The 19,310-nt window shown below is 37.9% G+C and overlaps 1 long non-coding RNA gene across 1 annotated transcript in view; it reads right to left on the reverse strand.

The window, feature by feature from the left end:
• Positions 1–1,639, reverse strand: part of MIR548XHG (MIR548X host gene) — a 198,548-nt gene extending 196,909 nt beyond the window's left edge. Inside the window, exon 1 of the long non-coding RNA NR_109925.1 lies at positions 1,601–1,639. This is a non-coding gene — a long non-coding RNA (MIR548X host gene). The remainder of the gene's footprint in view (positions 1–1,600) is intronic.
• Between the last annotated feature and the right edge of the window lie 17,671 nt (positions 1,640–19,310).

Below are 19,310 nucleotides of genomic sequence, written 5' to 3' on the forward strand. Positions count from 1 at the left end.
TGGGTTCCTGAGCATTTCATAACCACCTAGCTGCCCCATTAAGATGCATTCCTATAAAAGCAGTTCTTATGAAAATTTATTTCAAAGAGGGCATAGGTAACCTTTTGAGTAAGGATTGAGAAGTCTTTTTGATTCTGTAAGTATTTTAAGGCTTGTCTGAGTGGAAACAGCTGGCATGTTTAAGGAGACAAATTTTTAGGCAATTTTTCTAACTGCTTCCACAAGAGTCTCTGTATCAATTACTGAATACCCATTGTGGTTTTTTTCCTCAGTCACCTGGGAGGAACCATCTATCGTCCTGTCCTGAAGGGAGTTCCTCCTAGGTCTGGTCGGACCTTTGTGTGGTAATTAAGATTTAAATCCTCTGTTAGGAAATCTGCTGGGTTAAGGGAATTATCAGTGGTTGGAGTTACATTACCCTTTTCTAACAGGATAGCCCCATACTTTAAGATTTTTGAGTTAGTAAGCTATCCTTTTTGCTTTTTCGACTTAGAAAACTGGCGAGGTGTTCTCACAATGAGGTTTCCTCTAAAAGTTATTTTTCTACTTTTAGCAAAGCAGTTGCTGCTACAGATCGAATGCATCTGCGGGTTACTGGGTTAAGGATTTTTGATAGGAAAGCTACGGGTTGTCAGTGGTCTCAGTGATTTCAGGCTACGCCCTTGTTTACACTGACAACAAGGTAGTATTGCAGTGTTATAGGGTCACGCAGAAGACCTTCAATTACCAATTATAGATTTTAAATTTACCCTGGCTTTTAAAGGAATAGGGCACACTGGTTTTTTTTTTTTCTTTACTTTTTTTTTTTTTTTTTTTACTATTTCTATCTTTTTCTTTCTTTTTCTCTTTGACTCCTTCTTTATCTCTCTCTCTCTCCGTCTCTCTTTCTGTCTCTCTGTCTCTCTCTCTCTCCGTCTCTCTCTCTCTCTCTTAGCCATTACAAACTTGGGGCCCTGGCAAGGATGGTGTGGAACGGGTCCCACGTAACTGCCCATGTTGAGAGCTGTATACCTAAATCAGAAGGGACACCAGGGATAAGACTCCCTCGGTTATAGCCTAGGTGCTTAAGGACGCAGAGTAGAGCTTCCTTAGATCCCTTTGGAGATACAACTTGCTAGAGGAATTAAAAGTCTGAACCATCAGTACCTAGGAGGCAGGGATCAGAGGACGTAGATTCAGAGGTAAGGAGAATATTGGGGCTACACTTTCAAGAAAGTCGTGGTTGGGACCCAGGAGGTATGGGTCAGAAGGAAAGGTAAGAGGCACATGCATGGGAGACTGTTAAAGAGACTTCTGGCTGCACCATGATCTCAACCGGCTACCGCCGGGAGCTCGGGACTACAGCTTTCTGCCTCTAGTTGGCCCTCGACTTCCCCAAGAAAATTGAAAGTGGAAGCTACCTCCAGATTGTCCAATGTCCCCAACCCAGAAGGGTTGGGGGTTGTTAGAAAGCCCTTCCCCAGATAGCCTCACACCTGGGTCTTAACTCTGGCGGCCACGCTAATCATTTTTAACTGGCTGACAAGTGCCCGGTATTTTCCTTCAATTCTAAGGAAGGATAGGACAGAAGAGCAAGTGAAAGTGGTCCAGTATTACTCACCGCTTTGGAGGTCCCTTCCTGGTTGCCAAAATGGTGGCGAGCCACTTCCAAGATGGTGGCAAGCCGCTTCTAAGATGGTGGCAAGCCTCAGGTTCTCTAACCTGGGGTTCTTGGCCTCACAGATTCCAAGGAATGGAATCTTGGGCCATGTGGTGAGTGTTATAGCTCTGTCAGAAGCCGTGGGTCACGGAAGAGAACCGTGGAACCCAGTGACTACTGTTTAGCTTGATTAGGACGAACCCGGGCACTTAGCCGTGCAGGAACAACGGCAAGCCTTTAGCCCAATCAGGAGCAGCAATGGGCGCCTCGCTGGATCAGAAGCACAGTGGACACCCTGCCGGATCCGGAGGGATGGGAGTCAGCGGCAGGTCTGCGACGGCAGCAAACAGCAGTGGTGGACGGTGAGTGAAAGCTCAGCTCGAGCTGTAACAAACATGGACCAGAAGAGTGCAGTTGCAAGATTTAATAGAGTGAAATAGAGTGAAAACAGAGCTCCCATACAAAGGGAGGAGACCCAAAGGGGGTTGCCGTTGCAGGCTTGAATGCCTGGGTTTATATCCTGATCCTTGTCCCTCATGCTGTGCTCTCAGGCAATAGATGATTGGCTATTTCTTTACCTCCTGTTTTTGCCTAATTAGCATTTTAGTGAGCTGTCTAACTGGTTAGATGTGAGCTAAGTTGCAAGTGCCGTGTTTAAAAGTGGATGCGGTCACCTTCCCAGCTAGGCTTAAGGATTCTTAGTCGGCCTATGAAAGCCAGCTAGTCCTGTCTCTCATAACCTCATGTGACTAGGCACAGTGAAAAAGCAGTCGAAGCTTCATTTGCACAAAGTTATTGAAGACATTATATAAAATTACCTTTAAGCTATATGTATCAATATATATGAAATATAAATGAATTTTGTGTTTAGACTTGGGTTTCATTCTTAAGATATCTCATCCTGTATATGTAAATCTTCCCAAATTCCAAACATTTCTGGTCCCAAACATTTCAAATAAGGAATATTCAACCCATATGATAGGAGTGCAAAAAGAGAAAAGGATTTGAAAATGAAGAGGGTTAAATGCAAATGTTACTCAGAATAAAATAGATGATATTTTTAGCATTAGCAATCTTACATCCTAGCTTCAATATCATTTATAATTTTCAGACTAACAAAGTATCATCACGTTTTTCTCACTGTTAAATAAATGAAATATCTTGTATTATTTAAAATATATAGCACTAGTTTTTTTATTTTATTATCCGTGTGTGTGTGTATTTGACCACAGAATGTGTAAGATTATAGTTCTTAGAAATAAAAGTCAAGACAAGTTATTAAAATAATTAAATATAATATGCAAACTTAAATGTAATTTTATGTAGACCTTTTCTTATTCTGAGACTGCTAAATTTCAGCTATGTGCAATTTTACAATAACTCCCGGAAGACCATATCTTATTACGGACATCATTATGTTGAAAGTGATACAAATTTAGAACCCCAAATGAAAAAATTAAAAAAAAAATGTTTATTAGCCTTACTCACTTAGGCTTTCTTGTAGAGGAAATAAGAAATGCTAAAGATTTTGCATAGCAAAGTTGAAGTCTGTTATAACAGTAGGAGAGAAGTAATATACAAATTCACTTGTTGATATTTTTGAAAGAAAATTCTAAAAGTGTCCTCTTTCAAAATATCAGTACTTTAGAAATGAGGTTCTTTTGTTAAGGTAACAAAATTGCCCTGGTTATATTAATTGTGAAATGACTATCTAAAGATTGCAAATAATAATTCAATTGAAAACTTAATTATCAAAAAAAGTTAAATAACAAAAGTAAACTCCTCAACATCATCTCTCTCTTAAAACCAGTGACTCTTCTTATATTTCTACTCTCAAATTAAAAATGTCATCAACAGGCTTAGTGGCTCATGCCTGTAATCTCAGCACTGTGGGAGGCCCAAGAAGGAAGATCACTTAAGGCCAGAGTTTGAGATCAGCATGGGTAACTCAGTGAGATCCCAGCGCTACAAATTTTTTTTTAAATTAGCTGAGTATGGTGTCACTTGCCTGTAGTCCTAGCTATTCTGGAGGCTGAGGTGGGAGGATTGCTTGAGCCCAGAAATTCAAGGCTGCAGTGAGTAATAATCCCAACACTGCACTCCAGCCTAGGTGACAGAGCAAGACTCTGTCTCAAAAAATAATATAATAAAATATGTCATCCCCTCAGGCACTCCAGGCAGAAATATATTATTGTAAATTATTTTTTATTTCAACCATTTCATCCAAAGCAGTAATGAAATCCAGCCTATTTAAAATCCCAAGCATTTCTAGACTATTTGTTTTTCTCATCTTTCCTATCACCAATGCCTGAATTTAAATTCCCCTTATGTCTTGTCAAGACTGTTAAAATTTTTTTCACCTAGTTTCCTTAACTTCAGTATAAATTTCCTCTCACATTTAATTTACTGCATACTGTCTTAGTTCATTTTGTGCTGCTATAACAGAATACCTGAGACTGGGTAATTTATAACAGAAATGTATTGGCTGACAGCTCTGGAGCCTGGGAAGTCCTACATCAAGCGACTGGCACCTTGTGAGGTTTTCTTGTTGTGTCATCTCATGGTGGAGGGTGGAAGGGCACACAGAGGGCCAAACTTGCCTTTTTATAATGACACCAATCCTACCCATGAGGGCAGGTGGAACCCTCATGACCTCATCATCACTCAAAACTCCCACCTTGTAATACTGTTATAATAGCAATTAAATTTTAACAAGAGTTTCTGATGGGACAAATATTCAAGCCATATCATTCTGCCCTGGCTCACAAAAACTAATGTTCTTCTCACATACAAAAATACATTCATTCCATTTCTATAGCCCCAAGTGTTCCAGTATCAACTCAAAATTTCAATGTCTGGAGTCTCATCTAAATTATATATGGGTGAGACCCAAGGGTTGATTCATCCTGAGGCAAGTTTCTTTTTAGCTATGAGTTTGTGAAATTAATCAAGTTATGTGCTTCCAAAACACGATGGTAGAACAGGCATAAATAGACATTTCCATTCCAAAAGGGAGAAATAAGAAAGAAAAAAGGAAAAACAGGTCCCAAGCAAGTGCAAAACCCAACAAAGTAAACAATACTAAACCCTAAATCTTGAGAATACCCTTTTTAGACTATATCCTGCTTTAGGGACACATTGAGGTGGTGCTGGGTCCCTTTAGGACCCAGGCGGTTCTGCCCCTATGGGTTTGCAGGTATTAGCTCATACAACAGCTCCCACAGGTTAGAGTCTTATATCTGCATCTCTCCCAGGCTGACGTTGCATGCTGGTAGCTCTACAGTTCCAGGGTCTTAGGGGTGGCTGTGCTCCCATGGCTGTAATAGGTGCAGCCCTAGTGGGGACTCTGTAGCAGCTCTGCCCCTGACACAAATCTCTGCCTGAACCTCCACACTGTCCACAGCATCCTTTGAAATCTAGGTAGAGAAAGCCATGCTCTCACAACTTTTGCATTTTTTTGCACCTGGAGAATTAGCACCCTGTGGATGCTGCCACGGTTTACAGATTGAACTTTCTAGAGCAGCAGTTATAGCCACACCTGAGTCTGCTGGAGTCATATCTTGGGCAGCTGAGGGTTGCATCAGAACACACAGAATGCTGGAAACAAACATTGAGGCAGCCCTGTGTAGCCCTCATGGTCCTGAGGACACCCTAGGCCTCTCTTTTGATATATTTCCTTCCCTCAGGCCTTGGCACTATGGGTCTGTGATGGGAGTTGTGACACAAGTAATCTCGAGAGTGCCTTTGTGGTCATTCTCCCATTGTTCTGGTAATCTTCTCTGGCTTTGTTCTTTTTATACTAATTTTCTTATCAAATGTTCCCTTCACCACACTCATTTTCCTGTCCTGGAAAATGCTCTTTCATTTTCCACGAAATGGCCAGGTTGAGAATTCTCCAAATCTCTAAACTCTGTTCCCATTTTAATTATCAGTGATGATTTTAAATGATGTCTCCGTTTTCACGTTTTACTGTATGCTGTTAAAAGAAGCCACATAGCACCTTGAATGCTTTGCTGCTTAGACATTTCTTCTGCCAGATATCCTAGTTCATCACTTAAATTCTGCCTTTCATAAAGCCTTTGGGCATAGACATTATTCCGCAAGATTCTTTCTCCCCTTACAACAGGGTTGGCCTTTTCTACAGTTTACAATACCTAATTCATTTCTTCCATCTAAGATGTCATCAGGGTGGCCTTTACCGTCCATATTTTTAACAACATTCTGATTATGACAATGTAGATAATCTCTAAGAAGTACCAGACTTTCCTTACAATGGAACGTCCTCTTCTGAGCCCTCACTAGGTTTGTCCTTAATGCTCCTTTAATAGTAATTTAGGTTTTTGTAGCTTGCTCTTCCAAATTCTTCCAGCCTCAACCCACTACCCAGTTCCAAAACCACTTGCAAGTATTCAGGTATTTGTTACAGCAACACCCTTTGTCCAGTAGTAATTTTCTGTCTCAATCCATTTCATGATGCTGTAACAGAATACTGCAGACTGGGCAATTCACAACAAACAGAAATGTATTGGCTCGCAGTTCTGGAGGTTAGGAAGTACGAGATCGAGGTTCAGGCATCTCAGAAGGGTCTTCTTTTGGTGCCATCCTATGAAAGAAGGTGGAAGGGCAAAGAGAGGGCCAACTTTGTCCTTTATAATGGCACCAGTCCCACCTTTGAGGACAGAACTCTCGTGGTTTAATCACTTTTTAAGTATCTCATTTTCTGATAATGTTACAATGGCAATGAAATTTTGACATAGGTTTTGGAAGTGACAAACATTCAAACAACAGCCTAAACTATAGTTAGAAGTATTTCTCTAATACACCCTGACCATACTGATATGGGAGGAGGGCAGAGAAGTGCTGGGAGGAGAAGAGTGGGTCCCTGATGAGCGCTCTACCCTCCAGCCTGTGCCCATGGACCTAGGTGAGGACAGGCACTCCTGCCTTCATGGCCAAATGTTGCATTTCCCAAACCACCCTGGCCCGCCATGCCCCCATCCTGTGCCTATAAAAACCCCAAGATCCTAGCAGGCCGACTGGACATCGAGAGGAACACGTCAGCGGAAGAAGACACAAGTGGCTGGATGTTGAGGGGAGCATGCCGCTGTAAGAGCACACCGATAGAGCTGGCAGGCGGCAGGCCATCAACCGGTGGAATGACGCGGAATTTGGCCAGGGAGGTTGGAGGAGAGCCCGGGCCTCTGAGCGGCAGGACTCCACGGGAAAACCATCTTCCTTCTGGCTCCCCCACCTGCTGAGAACTACTTCCACTCACACTGAGCAGCCCGACTCCAAGGGAAAACCATCTCTCTTCTGGCTCCCCCATCTCCTGAGAGCTACTTCCACTCTAAAACTTGCACACATTCTCCAAGCCCATGTGTGATCTGATTCTTCTGGTATACCAAGGCAAGAAACCCGGGGATACAGAAATCCCTCTGTCCTTGTGATAAGGAAGGAGGGCTAACTGAGCTAACACAAGCCACCTATGGATGGCTAAACTAAAAGAGCACCCTGTAACACACGCCCACTGGGGCTTCTGGAGCTGTAAACATTCACACCTAGACACTGCCGTGGGGTCGGAGCCCCACAGCCTGCCCATCCACATGCTCTCCTCAGAGGTTTGAGCAGGGAAGAAACGAGCCACATCCCCATCACACACCCTGCGAGGGGGACAAGGGAACCTTTCCGGTTTCAATACCACTTCATTACCTAACACCTTCGCCTGAATCTCTGTGGTGTACAGTACATCAAGCAGAGCCAATGACTGTGACAGTGTTTTACGCGGCCTTCCTCTATCTGTTCCCAACTATGACCATTTCCTGGCATTCACCAAATAATCTAGAAGATGTCTGCACACACCATCCCTGTGCTCACATTATTGTTTTTATTGACCCCATAGTAACTCTCCTAGAAAAGTCCCACCTCTTGCTTAAGTGTTAATTGGGTGCTATTTTCTCTTTTGGGCATTACCCTTGCCCTCTTCCCTTCATCCCTTCCAAGGAGCATGCTCCTTCCTGGACACTGCTATTCTGTATGCCCACCAATCCCTCACTCTCCCTAAGGCCTTCGCAATTGTTGTTGCTTCTTTGATTTTCAGTCTAGGTATCATTTCTTCAGGGGAGATTTCCCAGATGACCCTTTTATTCACTCTTATGGTATGCCTCACTTCTCCTTTTTAGCACTTAGAAAAATTTCAAGTAAGTATTTTTGAGTGCATTTAAAAAGTTTTCTCAGTGTTTTCTAATCTCCCTAAGAATTGAACTATTATTTCATTCACTGTTATAAAGTCAATGTTGAGAAATTCATGTGTGTGTAAAGATAGTATCTTTAGACAAGTTAAAATGTGCTTCCAAATTTGCTTTATATTAGTACATAATTTCTCACACTTCCCTTTTTCTATTCCTCTAGACTTATTTACTTGCTTCAGGATAGTTTGGGTAAGAATTCAAAAAGAAATAAGTGCTTAGTCAATCTTGAATACATACATTAATTTTTTTTTCTTTTGGTCTGTGTCATCATCAACAACAAAAATAATCCTTAAAGTCAGGTTTTTTTTTTTTTATGGCAGAAAAGTAGTATGTTTTAGTAAAAATTATTTTAGCTCTCATCAAAAAAAGGCCTGAAAGACAGAGTCATAAAATTTTACTGTAAGCCATAACATAAAAATAGTATAGGGCTGCTTCAGGCGCATAGAAAGAATTGCAAAATCTTGCCCTTCCTGCTTAGGATAAGTGACAAGGACACAAGAGAAGAAGATAAAAGGGGAGATACACAACCGTGTCTTACTCTAGCCCAACAATAAGTAAAAACTCAGAGGTATAGGTGTGCTAGAAACTGCTATATTTGCAAGAAGAAACATAAGGAAATCAGAACTGGTAACCAGATTCCCTAAGAGTAGACCACACCTCTTGAAAAATATGGCCCAGAAGCAATACAACAGGGTTAGAGAACAGGTGATTTGAAACAGTAGCCTGGAGCAGCAGGTATGACTCAACCAAATCTAGGATCTGGAAGTTCCCACATATCATGATCAGGAGACCTGGAGGTACAGACAACACTGAAGACAGTGAAATTTTGGACAATTAGCCACATCCCCAAATGAGGACAGGCAGCTACTGAACCTCAGCAGTCTGCCTCAGCAGGCAAGAAATGGATTCAACAGACCACTCAAAGTCAAAGCCAGATAGATAGCAGGTCATGAGTCCCCATCATTTTCTTGTAGGAAACAAATTGTGTAAGTTTCTATTTCTCATTTCCCAGTATGTGAGATCACCTTTTGGAAAATAAATGGGGAAATGTAAGACATATTAAATATGGAATATTTATCAGAAATATGGAATATTTATCAGAAAGGACCTAAGTCACTTGTATTCATCTTCTAAGGATGCCATAACAGAATACTTTAGACTGAGTAACTTACACAAATGTATTGCCTCACAGTTCTGGAGGTTGGAAGTCCAAGGTCAAGGTGATGGCAAGGTTGGATTCTAGGTGAGGGCTTCCTTCCTGACTTGCAGGTGGCCACCTTCTCACTGTGTCCTCACTTGGTCTTTCTCTGTGTATGTGCTCCTGATGTCTGTTTTATATTTTTATTTTTCTGATAAGGACACTAGTCCTATTGGATGAGGGTCCACCCCTTATGACCTCATTTAAACTTGATTAATTCCTTAAAGTCCCTATTTCCAAAAACAGTCACATTGTGGGTTAGGACTTCAACCTATGAATTTTGGGAAGGATACAACTTAGTTCATAACAATCCTAAAAGGATATAATCTGAACTAAAAGAGCTGAAGAAATCATCACATAGTAGTTATTCATGAGAAATATTAGTTATAGAACATACCGCAATCACATTTTGAAGTATTTAATAAAAATGGATGCTAGAATTGCAACCCTGGAAAAGCTGTGTGGCTTATAAATGAATCCACAAGTGCATAAATATATATGTATGTAGTCTTTTTAAATAAATAAACATCATGTATAAAAGGCAAAAGATCAAAAACAGCCTAAATACTCATCTATGGGATTTAATTTAAATCAATTATTGGGCCTTCATACATTATTGGAATTTTTATATGCTCAGTGAAATGATAAGCTTTGACTTCACGTATTGAAATAGATATATCAATCTGTAATATTGCTATCATATTTTGTCTAGATTGACAAAGCACATGCCTATCTTCTTTATTAATATGTTAATTTGTGACAATATATAAATTATAAATGATGAAATGATATATAACAGGCTTAACAAAGGGTTACAGGTGTCATCTCTGTGGCAATATTGTGATGGGCTTAAGATCACTGCTAAGAGAAGTAGTTAACTGCAGAATTAAATAGCCTGGCTCAGTAGTCACACCAGAGGTATCTTTGGCAAGTTATTTAATCTTAGGTTTTATAAGCCTCACTTTTTTCATCTATAAATGGGTCTAATAATTGTATCTATCTTACAGGATCATTGGTAGACCTAAATGTTAATACAAGTAAAACACTTAGGAATGTGTGGGATATTGTGTGCACTTAATAAATGTCACATATTGTATCCTTTTATTATTTTTATTCCTATTATTATTAGATACAGTCCCAAATAATTTTATTTCTGGTTTTACAAAAGACATCTGGTGCTTTTCAATCACTGAAATCAATAAAGCCGATACATATACAAAAATTTTCAAAAAAAATTAGGTAATCACAATTTTTCTCTCTGCAATTTTACTAACATTATTTAGAAATGATGCTATTAAAGGGCATTACTTCTACTCATATAGACACATGCATAGCCAATTATTTCGTCTCTTTACTCTTCATCTTTAAGCTTGCCCACTGACTGTCCTAAGTGTAACAGACTTAAACAACAATTATTTGCATGTGCCAATAGCAGCTAGGGGCTAAGGAGTAGATAAGAGAGTCATTGCTTATGTGACTGAAGGAGACAAATAATACGTGGATGAGGCTTTTTAATTTTTGCCCTTGAGAGAGTAATGTTCTCATATCTTAAAAGAAAATCGATACCTGATATTAGATGCACATAAACTAATGATCAATACATCATGACAGTAGATTTGTGAATTCTCATCTAAGTCAACTAAACAAAGAAACCTATTTTATATTGTGCTATGTTTTGAATTTGTTCCCCAAAGTTCCTGTGTTATAAATTGGTACCCAGTGCAGCAGTGCTGAGAGATGGAACTTTTAGGAGGCAATGAGTTTTGAGGGCTCTGCTCTCTTAAATGGGTTAATCCATTCATGGATTACTGGGTACTGAGGGAGTGGGTTAGTTATCATGAAAATGGGTAAGCAAGTTTGGCCATCTCTTGTGAGCTGTTCTTGCCATGTAATCAATGCCTTACACCACCAAGGGACTCTGCAGAGTCACCATTCGCAAGAAGGTTCTCATCAGATACAACCCCTCGATCATGGACTTCCCAGCATCCAGAACTGTAAGAAATGTATTTATTTTCTTTATAAGTTACTCAGCCATGAGTATTCAGTTATACCAATAGAAAACAAATTAACACATAGTAGTTTTCAATTAGATATAATTAATATAAAAAGAATACCAAAATCCATAAGGCAATCAGTGTGTAAACCCCACTCATTCTGATTTCTTCATTATGCATTCCTTCACTTAGATTTAAGTTGGAGGAATTTTAAGTGTTGTAAACATTACCATTTTAATAACATGATATATAAACCTAGAAGGTAATACATTAACATATTTTACAGTTGTTTATGACTTTGTAAAGAAAAAACAAATAGAATGAACCTGCCATTCATAATCTGTAGTTTTATTTCGAGAGCTGGGAATTCATGGGAAGTTTGTAACTGCAATTTGATCACCTCCCCTTTGAACCTATCTCAGTCATGAGTACCATAATGTGCACTTCTTTACTTCAGCAGAAGCTGCTTAGAGACAAATTACTTTGGTGCTAGATTAAATGCACCTCAGCAGCTAGACTGGATGGCATTTCACTCCCATGCAGAATCCTTGCAAGCTGCACTCTGACCTTCTGGATGACATCTTCTGCCTGACAGTCATTATTTTCTACCTCCAGCTCCCTAGGACACCTAAGTGGAGCAGTTATTAGAGTTCCACAGGCAGCATAAATGGCCATATATATATATATGTTTCTGTGGTCAGAAATTGGAGGGGAGGAGATGAAAGGAAAAAAAGGGCTCCGAAGTTGCTTTTATTCATGACTGCACCTCTCCCTCACTGACTCTGAAGCTCACTGTTGTTGATTTCCCTGTGATCCTTGATTTCCTTGTGATATTTCAAACCACTCCAGTCTCTAGATGGAAGGTTTATGTTGGCCTTGTTGTGGTACTATCCGATAGAATTTTGGATGATGTTTCTGTCCTACAATTCTGAAAATTGCCATTAAACAAAGGTTATAATGTAGTTAAATAAGGCATGTAGGAATAAAGCAAAATCAAGTCTGGAGGATGATACAACTCTTCTGCATGGTTAAGTATGTTGTAACAATGATTCTAGAGGGAGAGATCAGTGTCGAGTGGGTATTGATATAATGGTAAGTAACCCATTTCTCCAAATCTCTTGACACTGTTCACTCCTGCTTTCTTGTGCCTTATCTACTCTCCTCCCACTTCAACTCCTCTCTTAAAATTCTCTCCTCTTCCTCCCCTTCCCTTCATTATATTCTTAATGTTTATTTTCATTTTTTTTCCTGGTGAAGACATTTAACAAATCAAGAATGGATTCCAAGAATGCTGAAAGCTTCCTAGTTTTTTCCTATATGAAAATTATGCTTCATTCTTTCAATAAAAACATGCCAGAAAATGTAAATTATTCTGTAACTGCATTTTTTGTCTAGTTCTCTGGATTTCACCATCACATTCCATAGATGGCTATTGTCTTTTATTTGCAAGGGAATATACTACTTGTTAGAGAAATAAGTAAATATTAGCTTAGATTTCTGCACCGGAAGTATGCAGAGCTTTGATCTGGGGATGAAATAAAATATGAAGTATATAATTGGGAATATGTTGGCATAAAATAAGGGACTAATAAATGGTACCAAATATTGAATAAAGTGACAGTTTCATCAGCAGTATCAATGTTCAAGGCATGTAAAGAAATTAGAAGGCTTACAAAGAAAGTCTATCTCTCTTTTCCCAGGTGTGTGTAACAAAAGTTCTTGAATAAACTTGGATTTTGCTGATCTGGAGTTCAAGCAAGTTCATGCACAGCTGCTAAGTTAATGGGGCAGTTGCATTATCTTGCTGTCACGTTTATTTAATGCTGAAACCCACTGATGGTAAATTATACCATAAAATTTTAAATTATATTTTACAATATAGAAATGTGCATAAATAAAACACACTGTGTAAAAAAAAATAATCTACACACTGAGAGACAGACTCATACTCAAGCAATTCTCTGCTCCTGCTCCTAGTAACTATCAAATTCAGCAACTCAACCTTTTGTTATCACAATATCTTTAATAGAATTGCTTCAGATTAACTTTTTTTGTGTATTTTCTTTGAATAATATATTCTAGCTGCCTGTTGGGAAATATCAGAGACTAAATTAAACTACACATCTTCTCCATATTCTTTTCTCCAGACTATATGCAAATATATTTATTTTTTATTTTCTGCATAATATTACAACTTTTAATTTTGTTAGATAAGCAAATTTTGGCTCCTATTCTCATGTTCTTTCTACCAGCTGCCGTCCATTTTCCATCATTTATGCCATTATTTTACATTTAAAAGTAATTAATACCTATTTTCCATGTTAATTTTAAATCTTTGTGCTTTGTGAGATAGTGTTTGAGAATAAAATAAAAATCATCATTTAACTTATTAGGATTGTGAAAATGCAATTCCTTTCTGAAGCCATAGAGTCCTGAAGGTTCTTTCTACTTTCTCATTCTATATATTGGCAGTTACAAAATATCTCAGTTAGTTAGCTTTATATTTGTCATTTCTTAAATGAATTTTTGTTTTCCTAAGAATTTTTCCTGGCACTTGCTTTGTTTCCCACGCCCTCTTTCTCTATCTGCTAAAGTCAAACATAAAGTTCTTCTAGTGCTCTACTACTAAGAGTAATCCTCACCTTTCCAGCATTAGATATTGACAGTGATGGGCATTACCAGCTTTGATGCAAAGCAGCTTTGCCTGAGATGGTAGATGTGACACTATGGGACAGATATTGCATCCTCTACAAGACTACGGGAAGTTTTGCAATAATGTTAAAAGACTTTAGTAGCTACATTCATTCTTCTAGCAGACAGGGAGGCTTTTGGCAGGAAATGATGCCATAACTACTGCTTTGGATAGGGGCGATATCATCAAAGATAACTTAAAAAGTAAAGGAAGATATTGTGGGTTTTATTTGAACACTGAGCAAACTAGTTCATGGAGTGCACGTAAGTTATACCTTGGAATTTCAAAAAACTATTAAGGTATTATTTTAAGATGATAAGATCTTTGAAAAAGCAGGTCGTAATAAACCCAGAGAAATGTTTGGTGTGTGACAGCCTGTGTCAACATAATTTTGCCCAAGTCTCTGAAACATTAGAAAAATATAGAAGCAGTAAATATCTATTCTAATGGCTTCAAGACATTTTTCCCCCTCTTCTCTGCAATGGCCTCTAATTCAAATTAATGGACCCCCAATGCTACTGCCTCTGAGAAAAGCTCATTGAAACATAAGTAAGTGTGTCTCTTACTCCATGATCCAACCGAGGCTAATGAGAGAATATCATATCACACTTGATTAATTTGAAAGTGGGCACTGGCCAAATTACCTGAGTCAGAGTTCTTGCCTGAGGTTTTTCAAATGCTACCCTAGAAGAAAAGCAATTTCTTTATGGTGACGAAAGTTATAAGTCATAAAAACACTGGCATGTTCACTGGTTATGTTTCCTGCTATTTAGAGAAAACAGCTTTAAAGTGAAAGACAGTAAAGCCAGCATATTGAAAGAAAAATAAATTAGTACCAAGAGAGTTCTGATTGCATTTTTGTCCCTGGTCCAGTTGTTCATAAATTTGTTCCATCTCTGCCATCTGTATTTTGGTTGTTACATTTTCATTGAATTCTCTGAAGAAATGTTCTTCATTTTTCTCCCCAAATTAGTTTGAGTTAGGTTTATGTCAGTTGGCATTTAAGAATCTTAAGTAATTTGAAAAAGTTGAATGCCCGTTTATACTCACTAATGACTCTTTATTGAATTTTCTCAGAGTAAAGTTGACAAGTATTGCCATAGCAGCTGAAGTTCACTTCAGATTAAACACAATGTCTTTGACTGTGCCAAGAATATAATTTTATGTTTTGTCAATTATTAGGTAATAAGTAATTCTGGGATTCTGAGGTTGGCTTACTCATCAGTAATATTTATAATATTAGAAATTTACTTCTAAAGAGAAAATTCACCACTTCCGTAATTTTATAGACCTTGATTTTTACATGGAATTTGATGTGTTTTTGATGTTTTATGCTAGTATTTATTTAAAATAAATATTTAAATAACTTAAATAAATATGTTATCACTATATTATACAACTTAAATAAATATGTTATCACTATATTAATGTTTTAAGGTGTGTATATGACTTTAATGACTGAATTTTTATCCATGAAATGCAGGCATTAAAAAATGGCATTTAGAACAGAGAAATGTTAGTTGCTCCTTACTGGCTATTTCACTTTCTGAAGTTTCAGTTACTTTGTGTTAACCGTAATTCAAAAATATTAAACAGAAAATTCCAGGACTAAACAATGTATAAAATTTTAAATTGCTGCTGTTACAAGTAGTGTGATGAAGTCTTGTATTTTCCTGTTCTGTCTTGCTGGGGAGGCGAGTCATTCCTATGTCCAGCATGTCCACACTGTTTATGCTACCCACTCATTATTCTCTTGGAAGCCATCTTGGTGATCAGATCAACTGATATGCCAGTGCTTGTGTTCAAGTCACCCTTATTTTACTTACTAATGCCCCTGAACACAAGAGTAGTGAGGCCAGCATCTGGATATGTCAAAGAGAAGCCCTAAAGTGCTTTCTTTAAGTGAAAAGGTGGAAGTTCTTAACTTAATAAGAAAAGAAAAAAATTGTATGCAGAGGTTGCTAGCACCTGTGGTAAGAACAAATCTTTTATCCCTGAAACTGTGAAGAAGGAAAAATAAATGAGTGCATAGTATATATATGGTTCAGTACTATCCTTAGTTTCAGGCATCCACTGGAGGTCTTGGAACATATATAAATAAGGGGGCACTACTATCTATGTATGTACTGGTGTGCACACACAGTCAGCAATTGTTTTAAGGGTTGTTTACTTTAAATTGTAATAATAATCTGTTGTAATAACGTTACATGATCCACTAAATCATGTTACACAGAAATTAGCAAAAAACATTTTGAACTGCTTACTATATTAGTTTTTAATTATTATTCCAAAGATACAATATTTAAGATGACAGTTTTATTGAATAATGATAGAAATGCTAATGGCATTCCATAAAGTTTATATTAGAGCAGTATATTTTAATTTATTGATCTTTCTTATTTCTAGCAATCTACTCCCTCCCAATTCTTTTAATTTTATACATCAATCAAGATGACAAGATTGGTAGGCATATAGACAAAATATCTATAGGCACTTTCTAAGGTACTGGAAGTTATAGCACATCATGTGTTAACAAAAACAACTTTTTAAAAACTCTTCTATAGCTTCACATATAATCGCAAGGCATGTGAACTTTAAGAAATCTTATGATGTGATGATAGTGACAGGAGGCACACAAATTCCTAGGCATATAGGGACAGGCCCCCAGTGAAACCCAACTTTCAAGGCAAAAACAGTGGAAAACCTAAAAACCAAGCTACAAGTCTAGAAAAAAATCCATGGACTGAACTGAGAACCTCTCTTCCCATTTGGTGCATTTTCCTCTGATTGATCCCCTCCCTTCACCGATTTTACATATACCTACCCTTCCCTAATTGATTTTCTACATTGCCATGCCCATCTTTGAGTGGTACATTTTTTTAGCCATTTTTGCTTACTCACAAACCAATCACCATGCACTCCCCCATTCAGAGCCCGTAAAAACCCTGGACTCAGCCACACTTAGGGGACTACCTGCCTTCAGGTGGAGGACCACCTGTCTTCAGCTAGGGTACTGCCACTTTAGCTCCCCTCTCTACTGAGAGCTGTTCTGTGGCTCAATAAAACTCTTTGCCTTGCTGACCCTCCAGTTGTCCACGTAAATTCATTCTTCTTGGATACAGGACAAAAACTCAGGACCCACAGGTGTGAAAAGGGCTATAACACTATAACCCTCCCTCCTGCTCCTGGAGCAATGGGAGGCCTGAGCAGGGGCACTGCTGGCAGCAGAGGTCTCCAGCTGGTGAAGCAGCCCCCCAAAAATCCTCCATTACTGATGTTTCTTAAAAGAGATTATTTGTGATCCTGACACTCCAAAAATTACCCGGGTCTGTCCATATTTATTGATGCAATTTTATGCACAAATAACTTTCAGCCATTTGGACTTAAAAAGTAAAACTAGGCTTTGTGAAAGCCTTGTTTCCAGGGATAGAAAAATACTTAACTCCTATGGTTAGAATTGCCTTGAGCTACAAGTATTAATTAATCATAATCAACAGTGTTTCAGTGATGATGTATCACCAGTTATTTCTAAAAATAACAAAAAAATACACCAATAATATTTACCAGATGGGAACTAACTTTAATGATTGACTGGATTGGGGGTCCAAGCTCAAGAGCAATAAGTAGTATAGTCAGTCATACATAACCATTTTGTTCAAACTTCCTGCTTACCCTTGCAATGATAATTTACCTAATATAATTATAAAAGTTGATGACTGATGGCTGTAATAAAAAATCAATCTTTGAAGTAGAGAATAATGACAAAGTTTCCAAGTTCTGTGATGAAAGTACTTAGAAAGAATGTACAGTGACTCCATACATTCTGTTATCCATTAATAGCTCCTTGTTTTGACCTTAAACATGTCTCTCTTTGTCACATAACAATGCTGATGAAATCCACTTCATCACACAGACTCACAAACTTGGCCTTGTTCAACTTTTCCCTTTTCTTCTACTCAGACATTTATTCAGTTATCTAGGTTGGTTATTTTTAACTATGGAATGTTCTAAATCAGTTTTTCTTTCCTAGCTTATTATGATTCCCTAATTTAAATTCCTCTTTGTCACCATTGGGAATATTGTAATAATCCCTTAACTTCCCTTCCAGATACCAGTATTTCTAGTCTTTGTTACCAATAATTCCCATCTTTTTGGTCTCAGGACTCATTTATAATCTTATAAGCTATTAAAGACCTCAAAGAGCTTTTTAAATGTAGATTCCACCCACTGATATATGCTGCATTAGAGAGAATAACTAAGAAATATCTATTTATATTAATTTATCTTAAAATAGACATTAAAATTCCATTACATATAAACATGATATCATATTTTTATAAAATAACTATATGTTTAATACAAAACATGAGGAGAAGAGAGGTATTACTTAAACATTTTTACTTAGAGGAAAAATGGATTCTCATATATGCTTCTGTGTTCCACTTAAGGATATCATGTATGGCTCTACACAAATACCTAGTTTGAAAAGCTGTTTTTCCTTTTTAATATCCTTTTCAGATTACTGTCAATATTCTTCTTTGATATAACATCAAAACTCAATAAGTGGTAGTTTGCTAATAATTATTTGCAATGTGGAATTAGAAAGCAGATCAACAAACATTTACCCTCTTACATTAGGATCTGTTGATACATCTGTGCTTTGACTCTTACCTGCCTGTGAATTTGCTGCATTATACACGGGTATTTAGAAAATGCTGGTTCCCTGAGTTGTGTAGATATCCCAAATATTGAAATGTTTTATTATACAATATCAAAATCAGGTTCATTTTTATTAAGTTCAATAACAATATGATCAGAAAAGTATTAAGTATGAGAAATGTCACGTTCTTGGTGGTGAATACTAATTTTCCAATTTTTTTCACTTGAAAGCTCAAATGTTATTATTAGCAACAAATACTTTAAGTTGTTTACTTCAAAGTTACAGTATCACTTATTTTTGAGAAAGTGTTCTTCAGAATGGCCATATTTGAACTATCATAGTTTGTCAGTCGTTCTTTCTAGTAAAGGGTATTTTATAAAAACAGTAAAGTGTCAGGAGTCCCCAAGATTACCCCTAAGTTTGTGATTTACAGAAATTAGCATATAGTCATATTCAATGCTAAGATGCATTCCAGCAAAAGGAAACAAAGCAAAGTCAGCCAAGGGGGAAGGCTCAAGAAGCAAAATCTGGAGGAGACCAGGCAAAAGCTGCCAGGATGTACTTAAGTCCTCCAGTAATGAGCTGTGACATGTGGGAAGTGTTGTCTACCAGAAAAGCTCATTCAGTCTCAACACCCGAGGTTTTTATTGGGAGCTGGTTATGTAGGCAACTTCTGCCTAGCACGTATCAAAATTCCGGATGCCCAGAGTGAAATCAAGAGTACAGCATAAATCACATTGTTTGTACAAAGATTTGGGGAATGGTGGGAACATAGACTAAATTCAAGTTCCCAGATGGCATCCAAGGGCCAGCATTGCAAGCAGACCTTTCTAAGGAAAAGTAGTCAGATCTGCCGTATGTATTATTGCTTTCCTGCAC

Source organism: Homo sapiens, chromosome 21 (assembly GCF_000001405.40).
Source record: "Homo sapiens chromosome 21, GRCh38.p14 Primary Assembly".
Taxonomy (NCBI): Eukaryota; Metazoa; Chordata; class Mammalia; order Primates; family Hominidae; genus Homo; species Homo sapiens.